The sequence below is a fragment of the Homo sapiens genome, chromosome 4 (assembly GCF_000001405.40).
Source record: "Homo sapiens chromosome 4, GRCh38.p14 Primary Assembly".
NCBI lineage: Eukaryota > Metazoa > Chordata > Mammalia > Primates > Hominidae > Homo > Homo sapiens.
Window position 1 is genome coordinate 138,188,454 of NC_000004.12, and position 21,212 is coordinate 138,209,665.

Here is a 21,212-nt window from a genome sequence, read left to right on the forward strand (position 1 = left end):
AGAGGGAAGGGGGTGGGGAGGTTCTCTTGGCTGTTTTGGCATAAACAGCCATTATTGACAGAGGAGAGCAGTTGACTCCTTCAGAAGAGCTTGGTCCTACACAGTTAACTCTAGGTTTCAGGTATCAAAGTGTAAGAGCCACTGGGTGAACTGATAAAAGCTATTAGGCCATGCCTGAGCAATCTTTCTGGAGGCTTTAGACGCACAGCGCAGATAGCATTACTAGTAACCCAAGATTAAGGCAAATGGCACTTGATAATGAAGGGAATTAGAGGAAGGAACCAGTAGGCCACGGATATTTCAAAGCCTCTGTGTTCTTGTGAGGTATCCACCAATCCTAAATGCAACAAAAGCATAATTTTTAAGCTGAGTAAAAATGACTCACTCTTAACAAAATTAAGTTCTATTCTTTCTCAAATGTTAGTACATGTTTGTTATGACTAACGAAATACCATTTACAAGAGTTACTTAATCCTAACAGCTTTTTGTCATATATGCTCTTTTCAATTAACAGGCATTAAGTATGTGAGAGTCTGCTATTTTTATTAGTTGTAAATGGTCTTCAGTCGAAAAGGTCTTGGATAGTCTTCTTTTCTTATGGGCTTATTTTAAATTGGCACTTACAACCAGTCTACGTCACACATACTTGCTTTATTTGAAATTGTTAAATGGAAATCTCTAAAACATGTGCTTAGAAGCATTTTTGTTCCGAGTGATAGGCCTCCCCAGAAATGAAAATGGCCCTATAATGATGGCAGGCAACTTATGTTTGTATAATCTACAAAGCACTGGCAAATACATCTTATTTTATCTTTAAATATATGCATGTCATTTTAAATCGTTTGTGGAATGAGAAGGAGCATGGGCAAACAAAATTTACAACAACCCATGGAAACAGGAAGTAATACCCGCAATTTTTAAACAAGAAAACCAAGGCTCAGAGAGGTTGAGTGACATAACCAAGGTCACAAAAGTAGTAAGCGGGAGGGCTGGAACCAGAACCCACCTCTTCTGGCCCTGAGTTCCACACGCATGGTATATCTTGTCACAATGTCATGGCTGCTTTGTGCCTGCTTTAACTCTAGGTACAAGGCCCCCAGGACCTTTACATGCTGACAAACATGTATTATATTTTATATAAATGAGGCAAATATTAGAAGACTAATTGTCATGGTGTGACACATTTTAAGCCAAGTATACTTTTCTTCACATCTAATAGTAGAAATAGTAGAAAAAACATTCACACCACAAGTAAACTTGCAAATAATGCAGAATAAGGTGCATTTTTTAAAGCATGCTTTGCAACTCTATCATGGAGCATCAGAAATGACTATTGTTTCCAGTGCATCATTTTCGCTAAAAGTGATCCTTGCTATGAAAATGAAATGAGTAAACCTAGCTTGATTCTCCAGAGAAGTCAAGGAGACCTGAAGGTTAGAAGGATTTCTGACATTCAGCCCACATGAGTGGTCTGAATTACATGAGTAATTCTCTAATCGTCTGAATTTAGGATATTTCAAGATTATTTTATAACATGAATACAGTCTTCTGAGATTTGTGCAAGTCCAAATAGATCATATACACTCCCCTCTGTTGGACACATACAATGGTGACTACAGAACTCATGGATCCCGGGGCATCTAAGCTTGTCTTTGTGCTGTGGGGCTAGGCATGAGGATAGGCAGTTCTGTCAAAACCTACATTTGTGTGTTCTGGAGAGAAATGGTTGATGCTTCACATTTCTATTTAAAAATTCTAAATATTTTAACAAATGTACTTGGCATTCAGAAAAAAAGAAAGGAGGGAAAGAGAAAAAATTAAGAAGAACAAAAAATGGCAAATACCTTAAAATGTAAGATTTAAAACATAAAGGGAAACTGGGGACTATTTCTTTACATACAATTGACATGGAGCTGTAATTTATCTCAACATAAAGTACTTATAATTATATTAAGTACCTTTTGATTCAAAGCATTTATTTTTGAATCATACTTGTTTCACATTTTCTTTACAGTGACCCTGTAAAGACCTTGAAAGCTTTTCTGTAGGTCTGACCCAGAAATGACGCAAACATCTCTCACTTCTCTCTTTTCAACCCACCAATTTACTTTTTTGCAGAAGTACTCTATCTTATTACCACAGCTGTTAATTTTATTCTACCCTTCAAACTTCAGTCATGTGTTGCAGACAAAAAAAGTAAATGAGTACATTTCAAAGAAAAGCTATCCGTATTTTTCATTCACATGAGTTTTCTTCCATACATTTTGACATACTTTCCCTGACTCTTGCTCACACTAAACTCTCCAGAGACCCCTTGACATGGAACAGTCCTATCTGCCTCTCTGATTTCTGACATTTCTAGCAGGGATTGAAGTACAAGTAAGCGTTCAAGAAAACAAATAGTTTTCCAGACATGAAAAAAATTGGACTACAGATGACTGAGAGCATCTGTAGAAGAACACACATTTCTTTGTGTGTTTTCAGTGATTTTGCCTCACTGTCATTTAGTGCTATGGCAGTAACTCTAGTTTTCTACTGAGTGGGAATTTGGCTATTAAAAACATTATAAATGAAATGTATTTGAAGAGACATAGCACATAGTTGCAGGGAAGGCATAGGTGGTCACTGAAAAAAATATAGCAAGAGAAAGAAAACATTCAATAAGCCTATTTATGAACATTTTTTAAAGGTCTGTGGTTCATGTTCATGCTTAATGATGATTCTGGGCCAAGGCTGAACAAAGTGATGGGCCGAGCATATTGTTACATAAATGTGCACAGTGATCTCACTGATTTCCAGCATCAAACACCTGCCCTCTGCTTCTTACTGAACCACGGCAAGGCTATGGGTGTTTTCACTGAGACATTTTAAATTTCAATACCACTGATGTCTAATCTAAATCTCACCATTCTCCATTGTCCACAGATGAAGAACTCCATAAAAGAAGAGAAGACAGAGAGACCTGTAGGGAGATGTAAGAAATGAACAGACAAAGATTAAAAGACTGCAGGGTTGAAGGAAGCTCATGGAAAAATGTGCAGAGATGCATAAAGGAAGGAGAAAAGTGCAGCAAAGCCACATAGAAAAATGGCCAGAAGGGTCACTCTTAGCCACCACCACACAGAGAAATGAACTAAAATGAAAACTCACAACTCAGGAATATGGAATAATAAGCAATCAGAAACATAAATATAAGCAGTTTTATCTATTCATTATTTTTATTCTACTATTAGAATAAATTCATGACTAAATAAAATTATTCAGCAAAATGTAGCTTGAGAGTAAATTTTCATTTGCTTGCATTTCATACACACAAAAAATTTGCATTGTCTGCATCTCATTTTTTCTCATTTTCTAAAGACTTAGAGTTTGTCTTCCAGATACATTACAGTTATCCATATTTATCATGGATAAACACAAACATATTTGTAGGGAAGTTCTAGTGTACAAAAGCAAAATTGGTTTTAAATAAAATACTAACAAAAAACTAAGAACACAAAATATTTTAATAGTAATAAATTAAATTTTACACTGATGTTCAATTCTTGTATCTCTTAGGTTGTTTTTAATTTTTTAAAAAAATTTATTATTTTCCTCAGGATTTGGTCTACACAACACTAAGATAATGCAACATTTCGGTAAACGATTTTTATAATAGTGTTTCTAAGATTCAGATTTACAGCTCAGACAACCAACTACTCACCAAAAGTCTGTTTTCTCTTTCCAAAGTATAAGTTATTTATGAGAAGCAGCTACCAAAACAGACACCACATTTCCCAGCCCCTCTTTTATCTAGGAGGGGCAAGTGACTCATTCTTGCAAACAGAATGTGAGTAGATGTGTCATTGAAGACCAAGGTGGTTAAGTGTGTCACCTTGTGACATTCTTTTCCTGAGTGAGCTAGTTGCAAAGGACCTATAGCATGACAAAGCCACATGATGAAAGGAATACGGGTCACAGAATAAACGTGAAAGCCTACTGGTGGCCAGGGACACCAATAATGGAGTGTTATATAATTTTTAAAAATAAACTTTTGATTGTTTAAAGCCATTGAAATTTTGTGGGTTGTCTGTTGTAACAGCTAGCATTATTCTAACTAATAAAAGAATGAAGGACCTCATTATATCAAGACTTTTTTGTAGCTTTTAATTAGTCTATACAAGACTTAAAGTGGGTCCTCATTAAATTTTATTGTATAGTATATTATTTATGAGACAAGCATATGATATAAAATTATTAAAATGATGTCCTAAATTACAATATCAAATAAAAACTGATTTTCATCTTTAAAAGCTAGGAGAGAAAATAATTATTATTCTTACTTCCCCAAAACAGAGGAAAGATAGACCCCATTGTTTGCTATTTTGAAATTTAAAAATCTGTTGCATTTCTGAAAACTGCCACCCATCCAACAAAGAACAAAGTACAATTGCCTCTTGTTTTGCCCAAGGACTCATAATAAGACAAGCAACGTTAAGTAAATATACTCTTATGCTAAAAACAAGGCAACATAAAATAGATATATATGTTTTGGCATGGTAAATGGGAATGAGGTTCAAAATTCCCTTAGACAGTAAACGCATGTCTTAGAAGGAACTGACAACACTTATACTATACACACACAACCAGGCCCCATCACATTTCTGCTGCATAATAAGAAATGAAACAAGTAAACATGGAGACATTCAATCCCACCAAACGAACTACTGCTTCTACCACCCAAAATTGCCTCCAACATTTCTGACCAAAAAAGGCAAGTGCAACTAATATTGATCATTTCACTTTGATATCTAGTGATCAACTAAACAACTGGCTTTCAAGTAGGGTGCTCTGGGAATTAGAATATAAGATAAGCAATGGGATTATAGACTATCCTGTTCTCACTCATTTCAACCAGATGAGTCCTCTCTTACTAGTTTTATGTATTGACATTCTATCAAAGAAAGATGTGTTCCAGTAGTTGAGGTAGGTTTTAAAATCACTGTTCTAGATGCTCAAAGTCATGTCTTTACATCACTTTGTGGACCCAATGCTGGCTTCCTATAGTTTAAAATATATAGGAATTGGGCCTGGTGCAGTGGCTCACACCTGTAATCCTAGCACTTTGGGAGGCTGAGGCGGGTGGACCTGAGGTCAGGAGTTTGAGACCAGGTTGGCCAATATGGTGAAACCCCATCTCTACTAAAAATAGAAAAATTAGCCAGGCATGGTGGCAGGCACCTGTAATCCCAGCTACTTGGGAAACTGAGGCAGGAGAATCGCTTGAACCCGGGAGGCGGAGGTTGCAGTGAGCCAAGACTGTGCCACTGCACTCCAGCCTGGGCAACAAGAGTGAGACTTCATCTTAAATAAATAAATAAAATATAGATGAGTTGGCTTTATAAAATGCCTAAATATGAATGATTATATAGGTATGTATGCACATATTTGACCCTAAAATTGAAAATAATTTTTCACTGCAATAAATCTCTATTCATACTCTTAGAGTAATTAAGGGAAAAATAATTTTAGCAAATGAAGCTAATGTTAGTAGGAAAAGTATAAAATTGATAGGGAAGCCAATAGAAATGGCCTGGCTTTAGTTAAAGTGGTAAATCCACATGCCAAGGCCACAGAGGACATGACATAGCAGCTGAATGGAGCAGAGGGAAAGGTGGGAAAGAGAAAAAAACAGAGTTGATGGGCTAAGCACCCTGCCAGTTCAGAGAGATAATATGTCACTGTCAAGAAAGTGGTGATGAAGACTCCTGGTTGGAACAGTTGACAGTTTCCTGAAAAGGTCACAAAGGCTCTCAGAATGGCAGAACCTCCTGTAAGCCCTCCCTCTCCTCTCCTCAGGCTGTCCATTTATAAAGATTCATATTCCCCGCAGAAATGGAAATGTTGTGATCTTTTATCTTTCAGCTCAAAAGTTAAAACTTTTGAAAAATAAGCTTTTGTGCATTCATTTTGTATTTACTAATGCCTTTTCTTAGACTACAAAGATTCATGTCCCTCTCTTTAGGAACATTTTTCTCAAGTCAAGTGCCACTATCTAATGGCTCAGGGACTCTCTGCCCAAGGGAAACAAAAGTGGTTCATACAATTGTCCATCTCTTAATTTCTCTTTGCTTCCATCATTTCCCTCAGCTTTATACTCTAAATTCCCACAACCAAGAAAAATGTCTATATATACCATCCCAAATGTAAATTGTCTTTTGGTGACATCTTTTCTCTGGAGTTCTGTCTCTGATATTTGTATTCACTTGATTTCACAGAATTATGGAAAAGTCTGGGTCTAGTCATGTCCCCATCACTAGCAGAAACACAGATTACCAAATCTCTCTGGACTTACACTTCCCCATGAGTTGACAAGGGTGTTGAATTAATGAAATCTAAAGTTCGTTTTCTTGAAAGTTCATTATTTAATAATTTTAGCACATAAAGCTAATCCCTAAAGATTGTTTAATAGAATTCTTTGAAAACTCAGTTAAGCCCACTTGCTCATGTAACAGAGCATCCTAAGGAAGTTTCTGCATTTATTTTGCTCTGTCATTCACAGGAGAGAATAGGATGCCAACTTTACAATCTCTTCTCCTGTCTTCTGAAGATGTGATTCTGTCCTCAAGCAGCAGTACAGCACATCAAAGTACCTTCCATCATTATAACTTCAAAGTGTCAGCCTGGCTGAAAAATAATGATCATTACAGAAGATCATTTAAAGGATAAGTGATCTGTTCACTCTTCTGCATTCTAAAAAGGCTGTCTGTGGGATCAGGTCAGACCTCTGGACGGTCACATACATTGACTGTATTATTTCACGTAATGTCTTCATAAGTCACTGTATCTTACAACCTTAGCTTTTATCAAAACCTTATTGCAAGAAATGTTTTTAAAACCATCTGAATTTCAGGAGGATATTTCCCATTGCATTTATTAACATTCTTTATATCAAGTTCATTCATTTAATCAATGTTTGTTAAATATCTTCTATATGCTAGACATTATAATAAGCAAAGGGATAAAGACATCAGCTACACACAAAAATTCATCCTCTCACGGAATCTAAAATTCAAACAGAACAAGACATGGAGGACCCTCTCCCTGGCATGCTGCTCCCCCTAGATCTTCACATGGTTGCCCCCATTTTTCTCAGATCAAAGTCTCCCTCCTCAGGGAAACCTTACCTCCTTCTTCTAAGTAGGTCTCCCACCCTGGGTCTCTCCATTACCTACTGTTTTTAATATGAAGATAAACTAAAACATCTTCTGACTCCTTATAGTCTCTTCAAACATCTTTATTTATGTATTCATACTCACCAATTCCATAAAAATATTAAGACTATTCAATGAGCATTATTAAGGGCCCTTGAAGTGTTTCCTCTAAATCTCTAGTGCAAACATTTTTGAGAAGGGTTGTCAGGACGGTTTGTTATCCTCAAGCATAACTCTGCTTTTTATGTGTCTTGTAACCACATGCAGAAAGGGTTTCTGGCTTCTTTGGCCTCTTTTGTTGTTGTTTTATTTATTTTTTATTATTTTTATTTTTGGCAAAGACTTAAAGAAGGCTTAAAAAAATGGAAGCAGTGAAGAGAAAGGGGAAGATAGAAAGTTAAGAGGCAGCTTAACAGAGAAAGGAAATGTTTATTCCACCAAATCCTCATGTGAATTCTAAATTATTAAATCTCTGAGAACACCTGATTTATGAACAGGATAACACTGCCCCTAGCCAAAATTATTTGTAATAAAAAGCAGGAAATCTCCTGAAGTTCATCTCAGATTTAATATCAAACACAGCAGCCACACCTGAACACTTCTCCATAAAACACGAAAACAGCATGGTGTGATCAGCCAGCAGCCACCAGTGGGGAGTTGGGTACAAACAGGGTGTGAGTGCCATGGAAAGGATCAGGCCTCACTAATCTAGAGAAACCAGCCAATGAAAAATAGCAACAGACTGAAATAATGTCAACACTTGGAAGGGAAAGGAGCACAAGGAAGACTCACTTCTAAATATACAACAGCCAGTTCACATTCCTTGTCAAAATACTGAGCTCCCTCCGTGACGACTGAAGTTGAAAGAGCAACACAATTGTGTTTTGTGTATGCATATTTAGAATATACCAAGTGAGGATGAAGCACCATGGGGAAAAAAAGACTTGTTATGAAATAGGCTTACATTGATGTTGCCTTTTTTTAATTTAATTTAATTTAATTTTTATTATTTTATTTTATTATTATTTTTTAGACAGAGCCTCACTCTTGTCACCCGGGCGGGAGTGCAATGGCACAATCTCGGCTCACTGCAACCTTCACCTCCTGGGTTCAGGCAATTCTTCTGCTTCAGCCTCCCGAGTAGCTGGGATTACAGGCAACTGCCACCACACTCAGCTTATTTTTGTATTTTTAGTAGAGACAGGGTTTCACCATGTTGGCCAGGCTGGTCTCAAGCTCTTGACCTCTGGTGATACGCCCACCTTGGCCTCCCAAAGTGCTAGGATTACAGGCGTGAGCCACCGTGCCTGGCAATATTGCCATTTTGTGAGAAAAGTAGCAAACCTCTAATAAGAATTTCATTAAAATTTGATTCAAATATTTTTCTACAGATACTTGGTTCAAAAAGAAGAAAGATGTCAAGAATGAAAAGGTATCTTATTATTTCTAGTGCAGACTTCTTAGGTAATGTGTTCATTACCATTTTTATAACATATGTAGTGAAGGATTCTTTCTCAGGATTATATATCCAACTATTTGAATACATATATAATAATTAAATTTATTCATGTTTAATCTAAGGCAATTTCGATAATTATCAGAATCATAAAGAAATATTTTTTGCATGTTTTCATTAATACTTCCATTAACATTTTGGCATTTGCTATGTTGTTAAGAAGTATTCTGAAAAGTAGAAAATCATATTAAAAAGTTGCTGTATTAATAGGATTTGGGGGTAAAAAGAACAAAAGACAAAAAGAGGAAGATTAATGTCATTGGTAGGTACTTGGGAAGTTACTTTAATTAGTTAACATTTTTTAAATCTGAAAGAAGAAAAATAAGTCAAGTTAATAAACCATAGTACACAGAAAAATAAATTTTGGACTATAAAAGACTCAGCCATATACATGGACTATATCTTTATATAGAGCAGATTTAATTATGAGAGATAACACTACCAAGATAATTTGAAACACCATGAGCTTTAAATTTAAAAGCACTATACAGATTCTCTTCATCCACTTGAACAGCTAAGAGTAAAAACGACCTCTATGCAAATACAAGTTATACTCAATGTTGACTTATTCAGAGAAAAATAATAATAATTGAGGCTACTTTTCCCTTCAGATTAAAAAAGAGTATTACAAACTTTTAATAAAATTATATAGTAATTGGTTGATATATCTATAAAAAGGCAAGTGGAATAGATTGCCTTGAAATACAACTTAGTATATAACATAAAAATACATTAATTTTATTATTATAATGACAAGTATCAATGTAATATATTGTAAGTATCATAAATATAATATAATAAATAAAAAGTATCATCAATATAATATAATGTAAGTATCATAAACTAAGGAGTAATATGACTATTTGCTAATACTGGGATATTGAGAAAATTGGGGGAAAGTCAAGAGCCTATATTATATCAGGTTTAAAAAAAAAATCCATTCCAGATAAGGTAAAGAGTGGGCTGTAAAAAAGAAACCAGAAAAAACAAACAAACAGAAAATATGGGTGAGATGAAAATGATCTAGGGATGTAAAAATTTGCAGATCATAATAGCAATACAGAAATAAAAAATGATTATTATATCTAACTACAAATTATAGAAACAAAACCACAAGTTTTGTAAGCTGTGATCATAAAGAAAATTGAGTAATGTGAAAAACTGGGACAAACTTTTTACAAATAATATAATAGATAAAGAATCAATACCCATAATATACAAAGAATTCTGATGAATCACCAATATTCATGCTCCAAAATGGTAACCACGTGTAGCTGCTAAAAATGCTGGAAGTATTGAGCCTCACTGGTGATCAAATGAATGCATTTTCAAACCATGAGGTGTAATTTTTGCCTTTCAATTAACCAGGATTTTTTAAAATAATGACACCCAACACTATAAGTATTCTTAGCTATTGCTATTGGGAGAGGAAATTAATATATCCACTTTGGAAAGCAACTTGATAATAGACAGACCATTTTAAAGTTTGTTGCCTTTGACACAGCAATTCTCTTCTAGCAATCTATTCTAAGAGAATAATTGGATATGTAAGGATTTATATATGAAATGTATAATCCAGAATTATTATTATTTTTGCACCAACCTAATACATTAAGAAACATTAGGAATGTTTTCAATGTCCAACAAGAAAATGAGCACAAGAATATTGGCACATCCCCACAAAGAAATATTATACTAGCATTAAAAATGTTCTTAACTAACATCTAGGTGATATACGAAAATATAATAAAATGACATGAAATGAAGACGGTGAGACAGATCTATAGCACATAAGTAGAAAGAGCTGGAGTTGAGCTTGAGATGCAGCAAATCTAAATGGCAGGGCACACTTGGAAGAACCTTCCAGCTGTCAGGGATACAGCAGTAATGATACAGACAAAGCCCTGGCCTTGGGAATCAGACAATAAACAAACAAGTAAATACATTATATAACACCAAAGTTAGGAAGAAAAATGCACATTTACATTTATCTCAAGCAATATAATGCACTACATATATGCACACGCACGCACAAACTGTGGGGGAAACAAAATATCAAAATAATAACAGTGAGTACTTTTATTTGATGTGATTAAGATATTACAGGTGATTTTTAATTTCATCATATTTTTTTGGCATTTTAAATTTGTTTATCTATTATTATTAAAAGAAAGGAGGAAATGCTATATACTGTTACTGAAAATACTTACCACAATCATAAAGTTTTACTTTGACTTCCAATAAGGTACAGAATACATATAAATTTTCCTTTCTTCATTTGACTAAATGGATCATCGACCACAACTACTGGGTAGAGATTTGTGTTCCCGTCATTTAAAAATAGAATAAACAATATGTGTCCATTATGAGAAATACTGAAACAGGATAATCAGGATATCCTGTGTTTCTAAGTGCGCATAGATCAGAGGCAGGGAGTGGAGGAGGCAGGGTTAAGCAGGGAGGGAATTCCACCCAGGTATTGCTATAGAAATGGCAGCAATAGAGCAGAACTAGCACTATCTTTTAGAGAACAGGAAATACCTGCCCTGCCTAGTCACAGACTTGCATCATAAACTCAATGGTTTGAAAAGCACCTATGTATTCAAACTGAAGATTTCTCCCTTGCTGCAGTTCAGAGTCCACGTTGTGACTTGGCATAAAGACAAACAATTCCGCAGCTCAGAGAAAGACATCATTGAGTTCAATTTCTAGTGGCTTTCCCCCAACATTTGCCACTTGATCACTTCTCCTTGGCAAGAGGACACTGCACTGTGAGGAATAAATAGCTAAACACTTACATACATTTAAAACACATTTAACCTTTTTCCACAAGACCCAGAGCAGCTAGCGAATAGTACCTTAAAATCATGACCTCCACTTGCTGTCTATCTCCCTCGTTTCTTTTTGTCATTTTCTGGCTGAAAACAAAGTTAATCTTCTTTTCTATTTCAATTTCTCTTTTACTTGCCTCAGGCCAGAATATAGAAAGTGAGACTTTGTTTGACAATATCAATAACAGAAAAATTAAATATTGCCTCCACAAATGATATTTAACCTATTTTAAGAGCCAGTGTATCTGTAAAGATGTTAAAGACAATAAAAAGCAGCTATTTCCTTATAATATTCTAACATTTCAGCATTTCCTAATTGTAAACTTTCTATTTTAATCTTCTAACCAAATGACCTTCAGTAAACGACCTGAAATGGATTAACTTACTTCAACTAGCCTAGCACCCTCTTTCATTATCTATTTGACTAACAGCTTTAGAAAGTCAAATGCAGGCAAATTTTAATGCTCTGACACATTTTTAAAAGCAGTTTTGTTCTATTCTCAAATGACATAGAGGTCACTTCTAATGATTACATTTCCCCCAGCTAATTTCAAGGCTAAAATCTTGCCATAGCCATCTTTCTTAGATTTCTATTCAACAACACTAAGCATTTGGAAAGAGTACTAGAAAAGGATCAGGATTTTAACTTATAAATATAGACAAATTAATCCATCTCTGTGGCTTCTATTTCGTTAGCTTCACAATAAAAGGGTTGTGAATTTTGATGGTTCCTCCCCTCCTAACTCTAACATCACAGGCTTTGACAATTTATTTTCTCAAGGTCAAATTAATTGTGGTTTTAATTATGACAATGAGTCCAATACACTAAGCCAAGTCAATGTGTGAATAGAAGAAGGTAACCAAGTAGAGAACTCTTTGTACACACGGGTAATATGATAATTGAAACCATTTTGAAATGTAGAGACATTACTATAATAAATCCTTTGCTATCTATCTCTTAGAGAACGGCCATGACCATAGACTATCAGGGAGGAAGAAGAAATAGCATCATGAAAAGCCAATAGAAGAGATTCTTCGGAAGAGGTGGGACTTGGGATACCAAGAAAAGCATTGTGCAAGGGGCAGTCTCCCAGGACCTAGAAATGACTTTGCTCATAAAATCATACATTCTATTCTTTAATATCTCATTTTGTGTTATATGGCTATGTATTATAAGCTCTAGTTTTTACATATTTTGGCCTATTTTAATGCTATGCCATGAACTTGATATCATGAACTATTTTTCATATAGTATTGTACAGCTTGATATATAAAACAGTGGCCTTTGTATTTGATCACTGCATTCTCAATAATATGTATCAGTACGGGTTATTGTTTAAGCTTTTGTCACAGCAAGATGTATTTCTTCCACTTCTATAATTTTAAGAGAAAGCATATAAGAAAGGGAAAGAAAGATAATATGGTACAGCACTAAATAGCCAGGAAAACCATGTGATTTAAAAAACTATGAGCCTGTCTCCTTAGAAAAACAATTATAAAAATATTGTATGTTCTTGAAAAACAACCTCCAGCATTGGAGATTAGAAATGCTTCAACTCTGAGACTGAGATAATTGTCATTTCCCATGGCCGGGTGTTTCAAGTAAGAGTGTCTTTTCCCTCGTGAGAATGGGTTTTCTCAAAGCCAACAGTCAAGCAGTACAGAAGAAAAGAAACAGCTTCCCCATGTCCACAAATCCTGATCTGATAGTCCCTATGGGTGACAAATGAACTAATGACATGATGTTTAATACCAATAAAAAGCATACCATTAAATAAGTATCTACTATGAGCAAAGCATTGTCAGACACAGCCATAAATTATATCTAATTCTCACAACGATCTTAAGGTAAGCATTAGAATACCCACTTAGGTGGGAAAAGGAATGAATTAATGCAGACTTTTGAAAGTCATGACAAGGATCGCTCCCTCTCTTTCTTTATGTATGCAGCATATTAGAAATATATAAATGCAATCCTAACTAAATTATGGGGAATGTCTAATACTGAAATGTAGCAGACCCATCAGAAAAGATTCCTCTCATATAATTGCATCTATGGATACTTATGGGCAATCCCATATGTCTATGCTCTTGAGAAAAATAATGAATCACATAATAAAAGACTAATATAAACCTTCTGGACCACAGAGGCTACAGACCATTTTATATCTTCTGTGGGCATATATAATAAAAGTAGTAAATAGGATTAGGGATTCATCATTATACCACATTAATGGCACCCTTAACAAGCATTTTTAAAATCTATATTTTTCCTGGTACACTCCTTATATCACAAGACACTCTACTTAAGGTGATCCCTTAAGTAGAATTCAATTCTATAGGTTGGATATGATCCTAGATCTTCAGATGTAATAACTAAGTTTCCATTTTGAAGGGGTGCCAGTTTGGACTCATTTCCTCCATTTACCCATTCAAACTTTTTAACATTTTCTGAGACAACTGAGGAAACTTTGGTCCTGCCTAATCTCCTAACCATCATGGGATCTGGAAAATGGCCATAGCATCCCTTTCTCTTGATTCATGTTCTTGACACTTTTTCTAAAGTGTCCCTAAGACAGATATTCTGTTTACATTTCCACCCTTCAGCCATGCTCCCATAGTCATGTACTCTCCTTGTCAAACTAGGTACTCGTGTGTCATCGACAAGAATCATAGAACATACTAGAGTTGAAGGGAGACTCAGAATTTGCTACTCCACCATTTCTTTTTTGCAGCCGATAACCCAGAGGCTCAGAGAGGACAAAAGATGTAGCTAAGGACATAAAATCAAATATTTACAAAACAAGAGCTAAAACTGTAGCCACCTGACTCCAAGTGCAGAGCTACCTTCACAACACCAGTGTGATGCTCACTGTGCCTGGAAGTGCCAGTTGTCCCCAGGCTGACTCATATCCTGCACTGGCATTGCTATTTTACTCTCTTCCTTATACCTGCCCTTCACTTAGAATACGAAATGAGTAAAATCAGATCTTTAATACACCTTATTTAAAATATTTAGAAACTCTGACCTAAGATTTCTATTTGACCTTACCACACTTATAAGAAAAAGGAAAATCTAACTAAGGACTTCCTTTACCTTAAAAGTACGTGACACCTTCTTCCCTCCCCACCCCAATAAAATAGGCCTGTGGTGTAAGGCATGCTTCCCTACATTTGTTCTCATATATTCAGTAATCTAAAAAGATAACTATAATATTTTAGAACTAGAAACATATTTAGGCATTAGTGTGTCATTTTTTCAACCTGAATATCCCCTAAATTGTGGCTAAACAATAATCCTTTTTATCTCTATTTTGAGAATTCCAATGCCTAACCAAATTCTCATTTCAATGCTTTTGAAATATAAATTTAATTTTAAAATGAACTATATTCTTATTTAATTAAATCCCATTTGTTCTTCCATTGTCAGGGAAAATAAATGATAGTATCTTTTTCATTAAAAAAAGATAGCTCTATATTTTTGCATAGTACGTAAACACTATGCTGATGCATCCTTTTCCTCTAAGCAGTTTAATCCATATCTTTGGACTTGGACAGTGTGGAGATTATGGTGCTGTTTGCCATAATTTCTGCCACATGATTTATCATATTGTCTGACTTTAGCAATGATGCAGGTGTATGAGGCAATTAACAGAGTTACTTGCTTTTATTAAAAAGCAAAATAAACATGCAAAATAAAACTAAAACATATCTTCATGGACTATAAATTTTTAAAAACTGCATATGTGTCACAAGAGGAAAATCCACTAAAATTGTCATAAAGTTAATTGTCTCCAAGCACTGCTTCCCATAGATTCAAAACTTGCAACAGTTTTCCCACCCTCCATCCCACCATTGGCTACTGGATAAGATGCAAAATTCTTATAGTAGAGTCTAAGAGTTGCTGTATCCCCTTATCCACATCCTACTACTATCTTGATTTTGACTCCTCTTCACAATCCTTTCCTTTAGTCAAAACAGTCTACATACTATTCCCTAAAACCAAGAATTCTTCTATGGCTGTATGTATGCTCACCCGCTGCCCGAGACATCTTCACTTCTCTGTTCTACTCTTCTAGGTTCTACTCTTCCTCCAACTTTCTTTTCCATAGCAAAATTACTTCCTTAGCCATTCACCTTGTACCCTCATGGATCAGCTTTGTTTTCCCAAAAACCAGCTGTCGCGTTAGAAAGAGTATGAGCTCTAGAACCAGGCAAACATGGATTGCAATTCTGGTCTTCTCATTGGCTAACTACATGGGCATGAGAAATTACTTCACTACTCTGAACTTCAGCTTTCTACAGCGCAGAATGAAGATAATATACATCATGTTATTAAAAGTAATCTGAGGTGCTACTTTTACGCTGCAATCAATCTACTTGTCAGAAAGCAGATACTGTTTGTATTTTTAATAATGGGCTTATATTTTTAAATTAAGCAAAAATGCATAAAAATTATCTGGGAGTGGACTTGTATTTGTATTCTTCTGTTTTGTATCAACAGAATAGCTCCTTTTCTAGAAAAAGTAAAAATAAAATATTAAAATACATGATGCCAGCCACTCAGATCAAGATCTTGTTTGTCAGATTTCGTAAAGGAGTTTCTTGGTAAGACAGTAAACCTAAAAATAGGTGACTTCAGTAGAAACGCAAACAGTCCATCCATTATATCAGCACAACCAGCCAACAGTGACGATGACAATAGGGGTGTGAGCATACAAATATTTGGTTAAGAAGAAAAAAAAAAATCTGCCAGGAAGTCATTCTGATTACGATGTGTGAGCATATTGTCACCTGAGGGAGGTTAGTAGACTATAAAATAAATAGCGATTCCCATCATCTTCTGAACCTTTTAACTACTAATAATTGGGCACTTTGCTGATGATGCAGAACAACCTTTCAAGCTGATTAATAGGTCATGTATGTGAAAAGGCACTCCCTATTCATAAAACAATTATGCTAATCCTCTAATTTTTTCAAAGATTATAAAATATTCTAATCTTTGAAGAATATAGGTTTTGGTTGCAGATGGTGTTTGTATATTACTTGCAGAGCTCATTAACATTTTTGAATTTCACATATTTTATCCTCACAACCCCATGAGAACTATAATATAGGGATTATCATCTTCCATTTAAAACTGGTAAACAAAGATTCGGAAGCAATTTAGAGGTCTCTCCAAGGTCAAACAGCTAGTTAAAAAGAGACAGGATTAGAATTTTGATTTCCTGAACCAGTGCTATTTTCAAAGACTCAGCAAGTAGATGTTTCTATAGTTCATATAAGTAAAGAAAATATTTTTTTCACTGGAAAGTCTCAACTTCATTTGGTTCATTTTAGATGTTTACATTGGTAATACAGTTTTAGCTTGTGTCTATCCAAATTCAAAAGTTGCTCATTTTCCTGAGTAGATCAATAATCTAAGTCAGTGTTTGAATGTGACTAGAATAAAGTTATCAAAATGATTTCAGTGCATGGTGTGTGTAAATATAATAACCTGAATGCATCTTGTCTCTACCCTTAGTGAACTACATGTGACATTATGCTATTTCAGTGAGAATCTTAAACAACATTGCATCTGCATGAATGCCCAGACAGCACCAGGCCTTGGACTAGATTTTAGTTGTCTAAGAAGTTTTTCACCAAGTATGACACAGAATGTAAGCTTTATTTGTGAACCTCATTTTGGTCACAATCACCTAACTTTCAAATCCAGACATATAGAAAAGAACAAAGGTAGCTTACGTGCATAAATAAGAATATGAATGAGGGGTGCTATGTAAGTGTGGACTGAAAAGCTGGAGACAATATAATGGCTGACTTAATGCTTCTGATTATGGAAGGTATTTCTTTTCAGATAACAGGGTTCCAACTCTGGAATCTCTGGTGTACTTTATTTAACTCTCATTTTGGTTGTTATCTATTGCAGTCAAAATATTTGACCCATCTTTTATGCCAGCTAACCAAAAATTTATCTAGGCTTGAAATAGTCATAGCAATTAGCAGGTTGCTAACCAGCATAAGGAAGTAAAAAAGGCTGATAGCCCAGTTCAAGGAAGTTATATTAACAGTGAGTTTCTCAATTTATCATACATGAATTATTGCTGTGTAAAGGTATTATAGAGAAGATCTCTGCATCTGGTTAAAAAGGATTAGATGGTCTTCAAGGTCCCCTCTAATTTTGAAATTCTGTGATTCTATTATTCTACTCATCACACCACTTGTATTCTCTCTCTCTCTGTCTCTCTCTCTCCCTCTCCCTCTCTCTCCCTCCCTCCCTCTCTCTCAGCTAAAGGGAACAAAAAGATAGGATAAAATTAAACCAGCCACTGTTGTTGCTCCTAAAACAAGAGTTTATTGTTCTCAAAATATAAAACTCAATGAGATTTATATATATATATATATATAGCCTCAAAAGATTTATATATATTGCCTCAAAATATAAAACTCAATGAGATTAAAATTAGAACTTTCAAACAACTATTATGAAAGAAAGTAAAGCATCGCCCTTCAAATTTTGCCTCATAGTGGAATTGGAATCCTTACAATTAAAAAAAGAAAGAAAGAAAAGCTAAATAGCTTCCACAAAGCACTTGAAGGATTAATATCTGTCTTCTTTGATTACCCCATGATAAAATATTATAATATAATCCTATAATTTCTGCACCACTTATTTGACACTTCAGCCTTATATGAACAAACTATCTTTGGGCAAAATGTATTTTTTATGCATATGTGATGCCGAGAAATGCAAGAATTTTGATCCCAAGGTACATCAACCACATGTTCTATTAGTGCGAAATTTTTAGAGTGAACAAAAGCAAGGAAGAGCAATTTGGTGACCTTGTTCTTTGAACACAGAATCATCTCTTCTCTGTGACATCTGGCCAAATACCGATCTTTTGTCTGCCTCAGTGGCTCAACTAGCACAATTCTATTTCTACTGTGAAACATATTTAAAAATGGATTAATCAAGCTTTATGTATATTTTCTAAAGAAAAGCAAAAAAAAAAAAAAAACCCCCAGAGGGATTCTAATTTAGGTATCAATTATTTCAACAATTGAAGAAAAGCAGTGTCACATTTTAAGATAATTCTAATGATGTCATATTGTCATTAGTAAAAAGATGCCTCATTTTGCCACAGGGAATATCTTTATAAACTTGTAAATAAATTAATACATATCTTAAAAACATATAACTTGAGTATTTGTAGTAGAAACTTTGGAAATATTCTTTAAAGTAATATTTAATGTTGTCTAAGAATGTAGATAACATTGACTTGTAATAAAAAGATTACAAAATACAATATTGCTGTAATCTGCACATATACAGTTACAATATTATATGTTATTTTCTAGCGACTATTAAGTTAGAAAACTAAATGCATATAAAGAGGAATATTTGTCTCTCATGGAAAGATGCATTCTTGGCTAGGTGTGGTGGCTCACACCTGTAATCCCAGCACTTTGGGAGGCTGAGGCAGGTGGATCACTTGAGATCAGGAGTTCAAGAACAGCCTGATCAACATGGTGAAACCCCATTTCTACTAAAAATACAAAAATTAGCTGGGCATAGTGGCACATGCTTGTAATTCCAGCTACTTGGGAGGCTGAGGCATGAGAATCACTTGAACCTGGGAGGTGGAGTTGCAGTGAGCCAAGATCACATCACTGCACTCCAGCCTGGGCAGCACAGTAAGTGAGACTCCGTCTCAAAAAATAAAAGGAGAAAGAAAGCAAGCCGCATTCCCAAGTTGTCAAAATGCAAGATAAAAGGCTTCAATTAACCTTTATTCTTTAGTCATGTAACTTTGCTACAACACATTTGGGCAAGATATTTTGCCTATTTTGTTTTCTTATGTTTTTTACTCAGGTAACGGTTATAAAACTGTCCTACAAGCAATAGGCCTTATAAAACAGTATTGTAAAGAATTACACAGTCAATAAGGAATTAATACAGATACACTAAGATTTTAAGACGGCAGCATCTGAACTGAATGCAAATAACATGATTGTGGACCATTTGTAGACCAATCTGGTTGATCACACTGCCTTAAAGGTCTTTGGGCATTTTTCCCAAACCAAGTTTCACTTCTTCGAGGTTTTCATTGGTACAAGGTGTGATGACTTTGAGGCATCAATTAATATAAACTGGAAGTAGGCAAAGTATTAATTAAACATGACACTCTGATTATTTAAACCTTCTATTAAAGTTGATTATTCAGAGCGTGTTGATAGCCTGTTTTTCAAAAATGACTGATGATATCAAGGTTTACTGACTTCCTCTAAGTCTACTATTTCCAGCTCTTCAAAACAGAAGGAATAAATGAAGTGAGAAGAACACTGGAATAAGGCTAATAGACAAAGTGGCTAATCTCAGACCCCCAAGGTCAAAGAAAAGCAATTCATTTCTTGGCTTTCATCAACACAAGATATGATTTATCAATCTAAGAGCAGGATTACAAACATTATACATCTCAATGATATGTTCTTTGCACTGTGTAACTTTTTGAACAATGACAGATTGCATAGTCACCACAAAAGTCATGTCATAAGGCAAAATTCATTACACTTGCACAAGCACTAGGATTTTTTAAAACAAATGTACACAGTAGCAATTATTACTACTATATATATGCCATTTTTGGGGGGAAAGCCTTTTAAAATTCAGTTATTCCTTGGGATTCTATCATCTTCATGGTCCAAACTTTGGACATTCATGTCCCTCAAAATACAATCCTTACTCCAATATATTAATTTGTGGAGTCAGCCATAATGTTATAGATAATTGGTAAAGGCAATACTCTTATTATAAAAGTTCAATAGCAATTGTTGTATTTGAAAGATTGCTACTTCCATAAATTCAAAGCTATTCTTGGAGAAGAAAACATTGTAAGAAAGATCATGGCAAAATTTCTTAACATTATAAATGTAATCACACAAACAGAAATTTTGCCCACCTTTGTCTCTCATTCGATACAACACTTAAGGAACTGTCCTATACCACCTACTTATAATAGCAGCTCAAAAGTTATTTCTTGGAGTAATGGTAGATAATTTGAAAGATGTCTCAAAATGAAATTACACCTAAAGTGTAGTCAATTGAGATCATGGAAACTTACTCTGAATTCTATATATTTTAATACACATTGGTATTTTCACTAATCTAAATTAATTATCATCTTTCTATTAGGTCACAAATTTAGGAAAATTTTATTGTCTAGGTGGAGGAAGACCATAAAGGGTGTTGTATTTTCAGCAGATGATTCATTTCACCAGCTGCCAGAAAGTTGCATGTTGCCGCACACCTGGACACATGTATCCATGACTGATTGGGAAACACATTTATCTTGGCACATCACAAAGAAGATGGAATCATAATTATTCTCCCTTGTAACTAAAGGTATTTTGAAGCTGTATCTACCTAAAAAATAATGCAAATTACACATCTGGGCTAAGTCCACATAATTTTACCATCTGTGTTTGATATTCACCCATCAATATTTCTGGAAGCATTTTCTGTGTTTAAAACAACTTCAGTAAAGTTTCAAGATACAAAAACCAATGTACAAAAATCAGTAGCATATCTATACACTGATAACATTCAAGCTGAGGGCCAAATCAAGAATGCAATCCCATTTACAACAGCCACACAAATGACAACAAAAAATA

General features: G+C 34.8%; 1 protein-coding gene across 2 annotated transcripts in view, besides 1 other annotated feature; it reads right to left on the reverse strand.

Annotated features, from left to right (window-relative positions):
* Positions 1 to 21,212, reverse strand: part of SLC7A11 (solute carrier family 7 member 11) — a 78,253-nt gene that overhangs the window by 24,357 nt on the left and 32,684 nt on the right. The gene's annotated exons all lie outside the window — the stretch shown is intronic.
* Positions 2,216 to 2,275: an enhancer, noted in NCBI's record as "active region_21910". NCBI's record gives its function as "activates an Ori minimal core promoter by ATAC-STARR-seq in GM12878 lymphoblastoid cells {active_cell/tissue: GM12878}" and the evidence as "EXISTENCE:reporter gene assay evidence [ECO:0000049][PMID:35858748]".